The following is a 17,434-nucleotide window of genomic DNA, read 5'->3' on the forward strand; positions in this document are numbered from 1 at the left end:
ATTGTGAATATTATTATATGAAGTAGTTCCCAGCTATCATGTTATAGGGAAAGAAGTGAGTTCAAGTAACTTGCTCCAGGTCACACAACTGGATAACTATGGGATCAAGTCCATCTTGGAGGAAGCCTAAAGCTGAGGACATGACTTAGGATCTTGGAAAGCAGCAATAGGACCCTGAGAATCCAGGAGAGAGAAGACTTTCCAAGAAATAAGAGAAAAAATAAATGCATGGAAACACACCAACAAAATCAATTGTTATCTACTTTGTAATTTGAGAAGCACCTTCCTGGCTAGTGACTGCCACCTCCCAGAAAGTCTTGGTAGACAGGCCACCTGTGCTAAAGCTGAAAATGCCCCCCACCTCCCTCTTCCCTCACACATCTCCTAAAGGCCAGTAACCAGTGGAACATTCTCTACTTGGCCTTCTCTGTAAGAACAGAATCTGCCCCTGAAATGTTCAGCTCACCTCCCTACAACGTGGAAGACTTCCTACAACTTTTCTTTCTTTGGCTCTAGCCTCGAAAGCTGGACTCTGTAATTTTCAGTCACCTCAAGTGACAGAGATTCAGCAGTGCTTATTCAGCATGACTGGGGTTTTCTTTTTATTTATTTATTTATTTTTTGAGATGGAGACTTGCTTTGTTGCCCAGGCTGGAGTGCAGTGGCGCGATCTTGGCTCACTGCAAACTCCGCCTCCCGGGTTCACGCCATTCTCCTGCCTCAGCCTCCTGAGTAGCTGGGACTACAGGCGCCCGCCACCACACCCGGCTAATTTTTTTTTGTATTTTTAGTAGAGACCGGGTTTCACCGTGTTAGCCAGGATGGTCTTGATCTCCTGACCTCGTGATCCGCCCTCCTCGGCCTCCCGAAGTGTTGGGATTACAGGCATGAGCCACCGCGCCCGGCTCGTGACTGGGGTTTTCATCTGTCAGCCATCTACGCAGTTAAGAAAAAAAAGAACATGCAAAGCTCTCCAACATGAATGATGCAATCCTGTAAAAGTCTGGAGGATCTAGAAAGAAGTCTCCCCAACTCACAATGTGCTGTGAACTCCCAAACACTGAACATGGTGCCTGAGGCACCTGCTGGCCTCAAACAGACACATAGTAGGTAACCCACTTAGAGATGGAACTATTTTCTAGGGCCAGAGGAGTCACTCACGGGATATAAGCCCCATGCCCAGTTTCCTCTGCCAGTGACAAATACTTGTCAGAGCCTATCACCTGCAAACATTGAATAGGAAGAAGGAAAGGATTCTCTCCACGGGCTCTTGCCCCATCCTTTCCTTTCCTTCAGGAACTTAGGTTCCTGCCAACCTGTAATCTGTGCCCCAGTTTTGTATTGAATTTGATTTCTCCCCTCACATGTATAGAGGATTTATGATTGAACAAGAACAAAGGCAAAAGCATGGGAAATGCAGTCTCAGGGTTCCTGAGTCTTCTCGAATTGACCTTTCTGGATTCTTGTAATACACAGCTACACCTTTTGCTTAACACTTGGCATATAGTTAGGGTTTACCAGATGAAATACAGGATGCTCAGTTAAATTGGAATTTCAGAAAAAAACTTATAATACTTTTCCAGTATAAGTATGTCCGATGCAATATTTTTGACATACTTATACTAAAAAAAGTATTTGATATTTATCTGAAATTCCAATTTCCCCAGGCATCTCATGTTTTTATTTGGGAAACCTGGCAACCCTACATATAGTGTAAGTTATTTTTTCAATAGTTATTTTTTGCTTTGTTCAAATGGTATTATATACCGAGGCCCAGTATATGAGTAGATAAAAAGGAAAAGACTGAGGTCCGGGACGGGAAAGCTCAAACGAGAGTGGCGGAGCTGGGAAACAAATATAGATTTCCAGAACCCTAGACACATATTTCTTTACCTTACTGTCAGGAAAAAAAAAAATGTGAAAAGCTTTCAAATGGGCAAAAAAGATTCAAGGGTGTCCTGTCCATCTGGGTTATCTCCACCATATGTTGTCTTTGAGCTATTCAGCAACTCCATAAAACTGATAATAATGTAAATAATTCTTGTGTGTAGACATGCATTATTTGTATCGAGTTGATTATTGCCCTGTGAACAGACCAGTCTCTGCATCTGTTTATAAACCTATTTCACCATTCTTTTAGTGCATATAAACTTAGGGTCCTTGGAATTCTCCTTTCAATTGCTTGTAACATCTTACCAGTTCTTTCATTAGTTACTGGGTTAAAAAATATTTGACATGTGTTCATTTTAGAAGATTTGTTAATTTACCTTTTATAAACAATCATCCGTTGACAGTTTGTCATTTTTCTCTGCACAGTGACCCTGAAAGGAAGTCAAAGATGAAGACTGTGCCTAAGTGGTTGTGGGGTGATAGGGAGTCATATAAAATGAACTGGATAGAGAGGAATAGAAGACGTTTCTTTGTTTTTGTTTTTGTTTTGTTTTTTTGAGACGGAGTCTCGCTCTGTCGCCCAGGCTGGAGTGCAGTGGCGCAATCTCGGCTCACTGCCAGCTCCGCCTCCCAGGTTCACGCCATTCTCCTGCCTCAGCCTCCCAAGTAGCTGGGACTACAGGCGCCCGCCACCAACGCCCGGCTAACTTTTTGTATTTTTACTAGAGACAGGGTTTCACCGTGTTAGCCAGGATGGTCTCGATCTCCTCACCTCATGATCCACCCGCCTCGGCCTCCCAGCGTGGTGGGATTACAGGCGTGAGCCACCGCGCCCGGCCGGAAGACATTTCTAAAACATAAATCTGATCTTCTCACTCCCCATGGGACACTGTCCCCATACTTCGGATGCATGACCCTGAGGATGAAGTCAAAGCTCCCCATCTTGGTTGGCAAGCTTGCCTTGGGCAGTGCTGTTTTACCACCAGGTCTTTGGCATTTCAGGAACTTTCCCACCCCCTCAGAATGGGGCTCCCTCCAACCCGTCTTCAGTTCTGTTTGGTTTAGATGGAAGCCCATCCTGTAAGCTCTTAAGCCCCTGGGCTTCATGAACCACAGCACTTTTCTCATTGTGTTGCAATTATTGTTTAATTGTCTGTAGACATTAGACTGCACGTCGTTAGGATAGGGATCGAAATTTGCTTTAGTTTATTTACTTATGCATTTCCACCTCCATCAGAGGGTGTGGTACACAGTGAGACTCAAAAAAAACTTGCTGAATGAATAAATGAAACTGGAAGTATAATAGGACCACTTATACCCAGAGGAGAAGGAAATTGAAGGGATAAGAAATACGGGAAAGAGGGCAAGCAGACTCATACTGTAGACATTTTCTTAGGAAAACACTTTGGGGAACAAGTCACTGAGTCACCCATCTCCCCCAAGTACTGATTCACTATCATCCAATGATTTCCTTTCGTTTAACCACACAGACTTAATGATTACATTATTCAATAGTGCAACATAATAATGTTCATCACTCTTCCTATGAAATCGAATTATAAAATTGAACAGATCTACCAAAAATTTCAGTGTTTTATAGTCTTTCCAAAAATAATAGACAATCTTTATTTAAAAGGAAGAAAGAATAAATATATGCTTGACCCCCACCCACCCATACCTGGAGAAAAGCCAATGAGTTTGGAAAAGGTGCTTTCAGGAAAGAGGCAAACTAGTGAATCATTTTTGAATGGACTGTCCCATCTCTACCTTTAGTTATCATTTGAAAACACCCATGGAATTCCAGAATCCTCTAACTCCTGAGGATTCCCCAAAGGACAACCTGAGTTTTAGCTCTCTCTTTCCAAAGTGTGCTTACTCTGGAGGCTGTGGTTTCCATTTGTCAAAGTTATTCACTTGATAGCCTTGCACAGGTGAATTAGCGAAATAATGTGTAGGGAAGGGCTCCAAGTGTCAGTAAGCATTAGCCCCACCCATCCCCATCACCAACTGCCCCATCTCCACAGTGAGTGGACGCCCATCCTCTTTGTGGTGAAAGTGAACTGAGACAAATGTCTGCAGGCTCCATCCCTCCTAGACTCTTCTAACAAGACCCACCCCGCCTCAGGGGCAGCAGTCACTGCTGATTGTCTATTGCTTCTTTGTTGTTCACCAGCTATTATTTCCTTTCCCTGTTCCTCATATGAATGAACAAAATCTGCCAGCAAAAGCAATCCCAGAAAAAGAGGCCAAACAAGCAGCCTGGAGTGAGGATGTGGGTGTGTTCCTTCCTGGGGAAGAACTCCTATGGATGGCGCTGGGGTGTATGTCCCATCAGAACTTCTTGCTAGAGAGCTGCATCTCATTGCTGACTCTCATGTTCACCTTTCAGGAAACAAGTTAGGTCTGTTTGAAGAGACACAAAAGGGATTAAAAGAAACACTAGAAGAGAACCAGAGCTAAATGCTAAGTGCTTGATGTGGATTCTCTTATTTACTCCTCCACAGGCCTATGTGACTGATATGGTTTGACTGTGTCCCCACCCAAATCTTATCTTGAATTTTAGCTCCCATAATTCCCACGTGTTGTGGGAGGGACCCAGTGGGAGATAATTGAATCATGGGGGCCAATGGAACTGAGGCAGGCTTGGGACACCAACTGTGGAGTTTATGTGAGAGGCTCTAAGGGCTCGTATTAGCTCCTGACGACCAGGATCATTAATTTCAGACCAAGTTTTAAGAGAAAAATCCTCTAGGCTGGAAGAGTGTGAAATAGGACCCACCCTTGTGTCCTTCCCTGAGATTCAAGCTGAACCTCAGGACATTCAGGGGGCTGTCACTGGAGCCAGAGACCCCTCGACCGCTGTCTCCTGAGAGCATTTTTTAAACTCATGGCTTAGAAGAAAGGCTACAGAGTTGGCATAATAGGGAGATTGTTTGATGCAGTAATATTCTACTGTAAAGACCCTCCCTGTTGGACTACATTAAGGATGGCATAGCTTATTTGTGCATTGGGCGAATATCACTAAATTTAGATTTAGAACTCACTGACCCTAGTTTGTTGGTTTCTTTTACCGCTAACCCATCTCCTACCATTTTTTTTCAGTTTAAAAGTCTTTAAGCCTATATCAAGTCATTGACTCAAATCACTGAAGTCATCAGTTTTTGGGGAATCAGATAGAAAACATTGCTGCTGTTAAGAAATTAGAAGGATGCTGACTTCCTACGTGAATTGCAACTTCATAAAAACTTTGTAGGAGTATTTGCTTGGGAATTGGAGAAAAACAAGTATAAATTTATATCATTTAAGAAAAATGGTCCAGAGTTCAATTTATAAAGGAAGACTTGACCACAGGGCAAAGTTTGTTCTTATTTTAAAATTAAATCAAAGCAGCACAAATTTTATTAAGCCTGTGCACTCACCAAATTGCTAACAATTGATGAGAAAAAAATGCATTTATTACAGCTTCACATATGACCAACAATTTTTCAACCATATATCATGAGAAATATAACAAAAATGGAATAAGAATTGGGCTAGTGGAAAAAAATCTGAGTTACAATTCTGTGCTTTATTTTCATTGTTGCTGAATCTCAGTGTGTCTTGGTTTTCTCATCTGTAAAATGGAAATAGTCGTACTTATTTTAGGTTTGTTCATAAGATGAAGAGAACAACTTAGCACAATGTCAAGCACAGAGGAATTGCTTAAGTAATGCTTATTGTTGTTATTTTACTTTTTAAAAAATATATAACTAATATGGAACTGAAATAGCTTTCAAATCAGCCAGGTTTTGAGAATAATGGGCCTACAGGTTTTTACCTTTAAGTATTGTTGATGTTACTGCAGGAATCAGATTTCTGAAGACTGTAATTTTATTTCATCACTTGATTGAGTACTCTTAGAATATAATTGTTGATTGCATGCTGAAGAAAGTTTAGAGAAAGTTTTTTTAATTGATCCATGTAAATGTGTAAATTGAAAAAACAGATACTTTTTTTCTTTAAGAGAGAGTCTCACTCTATGTCCCAGGCTGGAGTGCAGTGGCACAATCATGGCTCACTGCAACCTCAAACTCATGGGCTCAGCCTCCCAGGTAGCTGGGACTCCTGGCTAGGTACATATTTTTATACAATTAGATTTTGTGTTTATATTACATATACACATATATATTAATACATAGAAAGGGGGTAAAACAGAGAGAAAAAGACAGAAACAAACAAAATTTGGAAGGGCCTCTGCCTAGGGGTAAATGAGATGCAAAATGACAATTAAGGGGAAATTAACTCTTCTAAATTGTCCCCTGTATCTTGACATAATTTTTTTAATTATAAATACATATATGCTACTTTATTGTGTTTGATTTGTGCAACACAGCAATGGTTGGTCTTCAATGAAGTTTTGTTCCCAAGGAAGAAAGGGCGACTCTAAAGCAGAATATAAAGCTCATATGACTATACTTGTCTTTCAGGCAATGCACAGACACAGCTTACCAAATATAGCAGAGAGAGGTAACAGGAATTGGTGAGGACTGTGGCAAACTGGAGCTTTCAATGGAAAAAGGGCAGCTTCTACTCAGCTTGAGGCAACTGTTGCCATTTGGGAGGAGAGCTAGATATTTGCTAGGTTTAATTATTTATTTTTTGCTGATTTCTCATTTTTTTTCTTCTTGTTTTTGGCTAAAAGCTATAAAGTTGAATATATGTCTGCCTTGGCCACCATAACAAAGTGCAATAGACTGGGTAGTATTTTGGCTTAAGCAAAAGAAATTTATTTATCATATTCTGGATGCTGGAAATCCAAAATTGGGGTGCCAGTGTGGTTAGGTTCCAGTGAGGGCTCTCTTCCTTGCTTGTAGACATCCACCTTCTCTCTGTGTATTCATACAGCAAAGAGGAGGGAGGAGAGATGGAGAGAGAGGGGAAAAGAGAGAGAGAGGAAGAGAAAGGAGAGAGAGGGAGATGGAGAGAGAGAGAAGGGTAGAGAGACCTCTGGCATCTCTTCTTCTAAAGACACTAATTCTATCATGAAGGCCTCGCTCCCATGTTATCTGACCCTAATTACCTCCCAGAGTCCCCAACTTCAAGTACCATTCACATTAGGGATTGGGACATCAACCTATGAATTTGGAAGGGATGAAAGCATTCGGTCCATAATGTGGACTTCAAATATTTTTAAATGCTGGGTAAGTCAACAAACTCATTTCTATATCAGCAAGTGTTTATCTGGGCCAAAGTCATTGGTTTATGAACAGATAAATTCTACCTAATAGGCTTCAACACATTTATCACTTTAAAATCACAGCACACACATCCACTTTAGAAATGTTGTCAAATGCTTATTCAGGGTGTCCAGTGTCTCCTGGGGAGGAAGAGGTGGAGAACAATGCACAGGCTCATGGTCCACTTTCTTGATTGGAGTAGAGAGAAAATCCAGGGTATGGAGAGAGATGAGAGATGAGGTGAAGCTGATGGGTATGAGGGAAGGCTTGAAGCCTGTGATCAATTTGATTCCAGCTGATTCAAGAGGCAATTGGGAACCACTACCTTGTTCTCAGGAGAGAAAATGCCAGGATAGCAATTACAGGGACGAAAGATGATTCCTCTGACTGCATGTAGAATCAACTAGAGTAGGAAAAACCTGCAGAGAGAAAAGGCAGGTGGAGCCTATTGCCTGACAGTATTCTCAGGACTGTGCCATGGGGAGAAATTATCCTGTGGCTTGCACATGCTGATTTCTGGCATGAGAATTTTCTTCTCTCTGCTCTCAGGCACCCTCTCTTCTCTGACTGAAAACCATAGGCTGTCCTGAAGTGTCACAGCCTCCATGAAGCTGTCAGGATGGTTATCACTGCTATCATTACCTTTACCAAACACTTACTATGTGATTGGTTTCATATGGAGATCTCTCATATAATTCTCACCATATTTCCTCCCAGGGAAACAGAATTAGCATCTTCATGTGCTTGGATAGGAAACTGAGTAACAGTGAAGGAAAGTAAGTTTCCTAACATCTTCCAGGTACCAACTGATGGCCATGACTTGAACCCAAATCTGTTTGATTTCAGTTCCTGAGCAGCCAATTAACATTCTACCTTCTTTGACTCCGCACAGCCAGAACTGCATATTCCTCTGTTCTAGCACTTACTGTGGATCTTGTAATTACCTGATTACACCTCTTTCTTTCCCCATGAAACTCTGATTTTCTTAAGAATGAAGAGTGGGGTGTATCTTTCTTTGTGTTCTCCAGAGATCCAGCTCAGTGACTGGCCCATGGTGGGCACTCAGCCCACAGCAGATGAAAGTTACCAATAAATGCCCATGGGGCTGGTCTGAATCCAGTGCACTGAAAGGGACAAGTGGACACTGGCAATCAATGAAGCTGGAGGTAGAAGGAGCCCTGCCATTAAGTGAGCAGGCAGTTGCAGAGGAGCTGCTTTGTGGGCAATTTTTTTCCACATATCTGAAAAACTACTTTTGCAGGAGTTCATTCAGGACTCAGAAAGGCTAACATGTTTCTGATCTGAATCCCAGATCTTCAAGGCCATGGGACACCTTCAAGAATCTTCCCCAAATATTGGGATGTATGGCTGTTTAGGGTTGAGTGGAAATGTTGCATGCAACTTAGGAGTAAGCTCTGTGGACAGACTGCCTGGGTTGTATTCCCAGCTCCTCGTCTTCCCAGCTGTGTCACTGAGGGCAAGCTACTTCACCTCTTCTTGTTCTCATTTTCTCATCTACACAATAGTGCTAATAACACAGCCTATCTCATAGCATTGTTTGGAAAATCAAGTGAGATAATACACAAAAAGGACTTAGAAAAATGCTATATACACATTATTAGTAGTATTTTTGCGTTTCAAATCTCCTTGATAGAAAAAGCCACGGTTTGGGAACCAAGAAAACTGGTTTTTGGAGCTGATCAGTCCCATCCTGGGACACATTGACAAGTCCCTCTTACATGTGTTTGTGGCCCTGTTTCAAGTTATTGCCTCTGAAAGCCAATCCTAAGATATATGTATAATTTCATCGCCATCTCATCTGGAGAATGGGTTGTAAATTCCTGCCTTGTGTACTTCACAGGGTTAGAACTGAATGTGATCATGACTTGAAAGATGTTAACAGTAATGATCTTATTGCAATTATTATTATATTCATAAGTAGAATATTTCAAGAGCCATATGGCCTTAATTAATTATGGATAATAACCAAAGTCATTCTTCTAACCAGGAATAATGCTGGATGCTAAAAATAGCCTATAAACAAGGATGGAATACAATGAAAAACCTGTGTGTGTGAGAAACAGAACTGTGTTTTCTGTAAGGCTGTGAAGCATGTTTTCACTCATTCTTCCCTTGTTTTACATGTCCCCTTTCTTCTTGCTCTCTTACTGTTCCAGCCTTGCCTGGCATAAATTTCCCTGAGGAATAGCAGCTGTTGGTGAATCACAAAAGATCATTGGCTGCTTACAGCTAATGAGCTATTTCATTTGCTATACTGCAGAAAACCCACCAGATCTTTCATGGCCAAGTCAGTTGTGGAGAAACACAAGCCCTTCCTGCCCTGGTGTACCCTTTAAACATTGTATATGGAGAAGCTGTGATGGCTAAAAGCTAAGACACAAAAGATCAACTTTCTCTAGCCCTAAACCCAGTCTTGATTTGCATCTATCCTTCCAAATATTCATTCCTCTTCCAGCCTTGGCACATGAGAAATTGTCAAAGATTTCTAAACAGGGCAAAAAACTAAAGAGTACTTAGGAAGTGTATCTCTTACCAACGGGGAATTTTCTGTTAGAATTTAAATATTTAAATAAGGAGAAGGTACAACAGGTGAAGGTAGGCTTTCCCCAAAGAATTTCTTTCTTTTCCCAATTTCATATGTCAAAGGAGCTTCTATGCTAGGAAAAAAAAGTATGAGAGAATGTACACCTTTACACACTCAATATAGTGTGTTGAATCATTAAAAAGGAAAAAAAGAAGGAAAAAAAGGAAAGGAAAGCAGAAAATTCAATAATCTTACAGTGGACGTCTCTCTTCCGATACGCCCCTCTGGAAAACTCTGGAATCTTTAATTATAGCAACATGCCAGGAGGAGCTTCTCATTGTCTTTGGATCTCAAATGCAACTCTAGACAGAGCTCCCCAAGAGAGTGATAGATATGATTTTATTAGTTTCAGCAAGACACAGACATGGCTGTTCAGCAGAGACTTTCTTATAAGTCAGAAAGAAGGAAGATAGCAAAAATGCCCTCAGACAAATGGAGCTTCAGGCAGATTTTAGTAATGACCAGTGGAGGCTGGGGAGCCTGAAAGTTTAGTGCAGTTGACTCCTTTGAGGTTTTTGTTGTGTTTTGAGGGATTTTTTAAAGAGAAAACATGAGATGATTATGAACCCTTTATCTTTCAATATACCTTAAAACTGCTTAACTGCTGCTGCTAATGGAAGATTCAAAGGAGAGACTTGAGACAGTTTTGATTTAGCAGCTTACTTTTCTACCAAAAGCCGAGGTCCATGGATGCCTAGAGAAATAAAGGTTATTGTTTTGTAGTGTGCTTACCAGAAACACTAGTGACAGAAAGAAAACCTGTCCAAGTTCTGCTAGTTTGGGACAGATGGACTGTTTTCCACATTTGCTAGAAAACTTGGTGAAGTATCAGAACAGTGTTTTGCATATCTGTATTACACGCATTAGTACAGCAGTAAATAGCGGGTCCTGGTGTACATTTATGGCTAGCTCTCCACCGAAAATCTGTGGTCCCCTTGCATGAATGGGATTGTCACTGACAGGTAGCTGCCCTTCTAAAGGAACTACTCTGAAAGTCCCTTTTGCATTTTGTGGCCCTGTTTTAAGTTCTTACCAAAGGAATATAAGCCTAAGAATTATATGTCATTTCTAGATCTGAATTTTTAAACATGGGCATGTATCTCTACTCTCTTTTTCTACTTCCTCAGGCTGAAAGTCTAAGATCCCCTAAATCTTAGGAGATGGCAGAGCTACAATTGAAAAGAGCCTGGGCCCCTGAATCATTATGTAGAGGAAAATCACTCACTGTCCAGAAACAGCTACATTGACCAGATGCTACATAACAGATATTGACATTGTGAGGTTTGTTTGTTACAGCAGCTATCACTATCCTAATACATTACTTTTGTATATAAGCTCAATTATGGTATTTTTGCTTAACACAAATATTCAATTAAGCTCATATGGTAAAAAAATGTAAAGCAAATCAGTTCAACAAACAGGTGTCAATGCTAAAGGCTGTCCAGGACTGAGGGTGAGAATCTGCCGGTATGGTCTCGAGCTTTCTTGAGATAGAGAAGAGTTAAAGACTGGGCAGATGCAGGCACAATTACTATACACTAAGACCTTTGACTCCACACTTCACTCTTAAAGGTGGCTGCAGTTACCACTATGTATCAGGGAGTGGATTTCTGTCCCTTATAGGATTTACGAAGATTCTTTGAGCAAAGGACTTTAATCAATGTCAGTGCTTCTAGGCATACAGTGACTACAAGTTTTGTACCTAAACCATGTTGGTTCCCTTCCTTTGGGAAAATGATCTTAAACTTCTGCTGGCCTGTACAAAACAAAACAAAACAAACAAACAAAAAAAAAACGGAACTACATGGGACTCGCTGATAAACTGGTATTGATTTTCACAGATCATCCTTGTCAAAAGGATTTATTGATGTGTCAATGCATGTTGTCGAGTGGATCATAGCAGGATGGCTTTGAAGGATTTATAAGAAATCTACAGGCTTTAATACACTCGGCGGTAAATAACTAACAAGTACTGCACATATTGATTCTTTTCATGTGGTCAATGCAATCTTTAGCCCACTAATTGTCAGTATTGACAAACAGTTCATGATCTAAATGAGCAGCTGGACATCCGTTCTGAGTGGAATGCTTCCAAATGGCATTTTCCTTGCTGTTCTCAGCCTAATGTTCATGGAGCAGCCTTGCAGGTAATCAGCTCTAGGCAGAGGGAAATGTGTGGTAATTAATTCTTCCTTGCTGTCAAATGCTACTATAAAGGGAGAGGGGAGGGAGGAAGAGTCCAGTCACGGTGCACAAGTCTGGCACCCAGTTCCATGACACATGTACAGCAATATCCTTCAACATGACCCATCTCAAATGCATCTTCCTAAAAGAAACCCTCCAAAATCATCCTACCCACGGGGGTCCCTACAATCTCAAACTCTACCTCATTCCAGACACCTAATCACACATTATCTATGTTGAACTTTATTAATTTATCTGTTTATGTTTTCTATTTTGTTATGGCTAAATCTCAGTTTTTCAATTGTATATGAGCTTCTTAAATTTGAGGGAAGATAAGGGTAGTTGTGATGGATCTATTTGAAAAGATGATGAAAAAGCTATTAATACTGTCCTTAGAAAGATGAACAGCTATCAAATCAGTAAAAGGTTTTCAGAGAGGTTCATGGAAGATCCAGGGGGTCTATGAACACCCCAAACAGGAATTGAACTGGGGTTCAAATTCATGGTTATGGATCTTATTTGAAAAGTTGATGAAAACTATTAATACCGCCCTTAGAAAGACGAACAGTTATCAAATCAGAAAAAGGTTTTCAGGGGGGTTCACGGAAGATCCAGGGGGTCTATGAACACCCCAAACAGGAATTGAGCTGGGGTTCAAATTCCAATATTATTACCTTCCATTAAGAGTGTAACCTCTCAGTCTTAAACTTTTCAGTCTACTCATTCTTAGTGTAAGAATAATCAGTTATAGCAACAGTCCCCAACATTTTTGGCACCAGGGACAGGTTTTGTGGAAGACAATTTTTCCACAGACTGGTGGGGGGTGGTGGGTGGATTCAGGGTGAAACTGTTCCACCTCAGATCATCAGACATTAGGTTCTCATAAGGAGCACACAATCTAGATTCCTTGCATGTGCAGTCCATAATAGCGTTTGCACTCCTTTGACAATCTAACGCCGGTATCAGTCTATGGCCCGGGGGTTAAGGACCCCTGAGTTACAGCACAGGTTTGTTAAAAGGATTAAGTGAACTGATTCATGGGATGTGCTTTGCACACTGTACCTTCAGGGTATCTGGGTTTATATTTCCTTTCATTTTGCAAACACTTATTGAGCACTAATCAGGAGTCACATGTGGTCTCATTGCTATGTCCCATGGTTAATTCACCCAAAATACCAAGCAGATACCTCACTTAGTATATTTACTCAGTTGATGCTTTCTGTCAGATTGATTAGGATTCTTACACTGGATAGAACCACCTTTGAATTATTCTACTATATTGGTTTTAATCAAGTATTCACATATTGCTATGACTAAACTTGGACTAAACTTCAATTCTCTGTGGTATACTCATTCAACTTGAAATAAACCTTTTAGGGAAAGGGCATTTACTAGACCCGATTTTCTACAATGATCATTTAATCTGTCATTTCTGTGGAATTGTGTTACACTGTAAATGTAGTTTATCTAACCCCAAATGTATATCTGCTCCCCCTTAAACATATTAATTGAATTTAGTAGAATAACTATTTTGTTCCTATTACAATACAGACACACGTGTCAACTTATCTCTATCTCTGCTGTAAAACATTACGTTCTCCATTGGGGAAGACTACTATAAAAATGCGGTTAGTAAATGCTGGTAAAAAGAGTGAAGCCAGGATATGCACATGTATATTTGATACTAGAAAGCACTTTCTTAGACTTGGAAGACTGACTATACAGACAGAAGGACTATTATATTGTTCTGGTTAACAAAATTATCAGAGCTCATTTATAGGATTGTGGACATTTTTCCAAATATTTTTTTCCATTATTTGTCTTCTAAGCCTTCAATCCTGCCCCATCAAATCTTTATCTCTATTTGGCTACAGGGAAATTTACATTTATCACAAATAAGATATCTTGCACTCTATTACCTGGATGAAGTCTTCTATCCCGTCCTTTATAATTTCTCACTGTATTTTCTGATAATTGAGGTTTAGCACATTGATATTAGCAAAGCATAGAGCTTCGGCATCTGGAGACAATGACTGACACTCCATTGTCAGAGATGCAGCTTCTTAAGGAAGTGACAGCCTGTCTGATCTTACCACTGTCTCCAATGTCCAATTATCACCAGCCATTTGGGTGAGTGACAAGATATCAAGGGGAAATTCTTTCTAGATTACTTTCTCCCTCCTTTCCTTTTTCTCTTAACACAGGAAGGGCTCATTATGATCTAAGAGGCACAGATATTAATTCTGTAGTAGTAGTTAAAGTTTTAACATACGGTTGCTTGTTTTGTTCCCCTAAATTCAAATCTGATAAGGTCATCTGTCCACCGGGGGAGATACCACTCTTCTCTGACGCAGGGTTTAATATCTTTCAGCCCTACAGCTCTGACCCTCAGGGAAAACAAAAGCAAAAGTGATAAATACTTGAGGCTGGAATCAATGAAATTATATATATATATATATATATATATATATATATCTGTGTATTAAATATATGTGTGTGTGTGTGTGTGTGTGTGTGTGTGTGTATTTAAACTTAGGAGAAAACAGAAAGGTTAACTACTCCAAAGTCTTTGGCTTTAGAAAATAAGTTGATTGTGATGGGACTGGAAAGATTAATTAAAGAGAACAAGAATATAAAAATAGTGTGATATTTCATTATTATGAAAATGCACAACGATAATTGTATTCACCAGAAGCTTTCTTCCAAGAAACGCTAAATATTATGCCAACATTTCCTCATTAATCTTCTAAGATGGCGAAAAAACAAAAATTAACATTTAAATATTACCAATGGGACACAGAGCTAGAGAAAGATGTTGATGACAGACACTTTTGAAGCAGGCGTGCCTCAGTTTACTCTTTTTTTTTTCTTTTTTGAGACAGGGTCTTGCTCTGTCACCCAGGCTGGAGTGCAGTGGCACGATCTCAGCTCACTGCAACCTTCCCCTTGCCAGGTTTAAGCAATTCTCGTGCCTCAACCTCCCTAGTAGCTGGGACTACCATGCCTGGCTAATTTTTGTAATTTCAGTAGAGATGGGGTTTCGCCATGTTGGTCAGTCTGGTCTAGAACTCCTGGCATCAGGAGATTCACCTGCCTCAGCCTCCCAAAGTGCTGGAATTACAGGTGTGAGCCACTGTGCCCAGCCTCAGTTTACTCATTTGTATGATAAGACTATTCATAGCATTTAACTAACAATAGGGTTTTTGTGGGGATTAAGTGAGTAGGACATAGAAGAAGTCTTCAATGAGAGCCCAATGCATAGTGAATACTCAGTAAATACGAGACAATATTATTATTATCTTTAGAATACTTGATGCAAATGAGAGAAAGTCACCTTTATATGTTTTCTGGAGCTTCAACACTCAAGAGAGGAGTCAACCTCTCAATTCCATTCATCAAACACCTCCTGCACAAAAATCTGTAAGAGTATTCTGCATTTATATGATATTTTTCATTTACAAAACACTCTTAGATACATTATCTTCTACAGTCCCCCCAACTGTCTGGTGAGGTAGAGAACTCAAAGTTACCAAGTTTAATAAGCAAGACAGTGAGGGGACCAGAGAGGATGACACACCCAAGCTCACCAGCAAGTTAGAGGCCAAAACAAACTCAATTTCATTAATTATGGAGTTATTTCCATCTGCAATAGACATATCTGTTTGTTTTGTTCGTTTGGGCTTTGGCGGGTAAAGGGGCTACCCACAGGGATACTGATTTTCTTTTCTTTTCTTTTCTTTTTTTTTTTTTGAGAGGAGTCTGGCTCTGTCGCCCAGGCTGGAGTGCAGTGGCGCGATCTCGGCTCACTGCAAGCTCTGCCTCCCAGGTTCAGGCCATTCTCCTGCCTCAGCCTCCCGAGTAGCTGGGACTACAGGCGCCCACCACCACGCCTGGCTAATTTTTTGTATTTTTACTAGAGACGGGGTTTCACTTGTTAGCCAGGATGGTCTCGATCTCCTGACCTCGTGATCCGCCCGCCTCGGCCTTCCAAAGTGTTGGGATTACAGGCGTGAGCCACCGCACCCGGCCAGGGATACTGTTTTTCTAACAGCCCTGTGATTTTGCTTCTGGAAAATTACCTTTGCTTAGTGTGCACAGGCCAGGTTGGGAAATGAACCAAGCTACCCGCGGAAGCTGAGGGAGTCCTGTGGCTACTCGTCTGTTCCAGGGCAACCATGTGTCAATAGCAGAACCTAGATTCAGACAGTTGGATTCTCTCTCCTGTGACTTTGAATCTTGAATAGCAGGACACAAGTTCAGAAGAAAAAAATGGTTTCCATCTAGAGACTGCAATTGAATAAAACCATGAAATCATTTTTGCTGCTAAATCCTATCTGCTCGTTCCCAACTCCCCCAAGCCTGATTCTTCAGCCTCCCTGCCCATTATATGAGCAACCCCTGTAATCCTCCAATAATTTATGTTCTGGCTCAAGTTAACAGGAGTCACATTCTGTTTTCTGCAACTTAAGAGCCCTAGCTGATGCAACAATATAGACAATGTGTCCATCAACAGAGATATTGAGAGCTTTTCAATTGCCAGCTGCTATGCTAGAAATTATGGTTTGGAATATGACCAGGATGAAAAGATTATAAGCACCTAAGAGAGTTTTTAAAAAAGGGGATATGACAAAGTGCTAGAATCAGGGGGTACAAAGTGATAGGCATCAGAAAACAGGCAAATCAGAGTTATTTGGAGAAACAACAAAACTTCCTGGGTCCTGAAAATAGAGTGAGATTTGCAACCTTTCTTTTTCGAACTTGCAGAAGTTGGAAGAAAAAAACATTAGTGCTCCATTCAAAAGCAAAAGTATCTTCCTTTTAATAAACAATGCCCGATTTATGGAGAAGAGCATTTGGGGAAACACAATTCTATGTATTCACATCATTCAAATGCAGTAATTTACTTATTTGTTCACATCAACTCTGAAAATAATCACAAAGCAGGAGAGCATGAACTTTAATAAACATTTTTAATTGCAAGTCCAAGGCAAAGTATTGTGTTTTTCATTGCATTAATCAGGTTTGCCATTGGGAAGACAGTGTAAAATCCCACTGGATTTAGAACCAGGTTTTCCAGCTGAAAGCTATAATAATACTGTGTTGATCACAATTTTAACCAGGCCAAATACTTCAGATTAAAAGTCTACCTCTAAACTATCCCTGAAACTAGTGACATTGTCAGGGTATGGGGAGGTGTGTGTGGAGGACATAGAAGAGCCTCTTTTAATTGTTTCTCCTAGATCCAAGGTTTACACAATCCAAATTTCACTGGAGTCTTAATTACCCCTGAGTTTCTGTTGAAGCTAGAGTAAATCCAAGACACTTCCATCTAAGGTTATGTGGTGTTTATTGAAATCTAGTACCCTTTCCAGTGAATCCTCTATTTTTCACAAGCACTGATTTGTAAGATCCTCTGACTACAGGACCTTTGAATAGGCTGTAGTCTGTCTTACAGCCTTTTCCACCTCTCCTCTTCCTACCTACAGAACCCACTCTTCAAGTCTCAAGACAAAGTCTCTGAATTAGGGAAGAATCCCTT

At 40.5% G+C, this 17,434-nt stretch overlaps 1 protein-coding gene across 20 annotated transcripts in view; it reads right to left on the reverse strand.

Annotated features, from left to right (window-relative positions):
* Positions 1-17,434, reverse strand: part of LDB2 (LIM domain binding 2) — a 397,105-nt gene that overhangs the window by 296,705 nt on the left and 82,966 nt on the right. The window contains exon 1 of one of the 20 annotated variants that reach the window (XM_024454280.2): positions 15,975-15,999. The exons of the other annotated variants lie outside the window; for them this stretch is intronic. The gene's annotated coding sequence lies outside the window, so the exon portion shown is untranslated. Of the gene's footprint in view, positions 1-15,974; positions 16,000-17,434 lie in introns of those variants that run through there. 20 annotated transcript variants of the gene reach the window in all.

Source organism: Homo sapiens, chromosome 4 (assembly GCF_000001405.40).
Source record: "Homo sapiens chromosome 4, GRCh38.p14 Primary Assembly".
In the NCBI taxonomy this organism is placed as follows: Eukaryota; Metazoa; Chordata; class Mammalia; order Primates; family Hominidae; genus Homo; species Homo sapiens.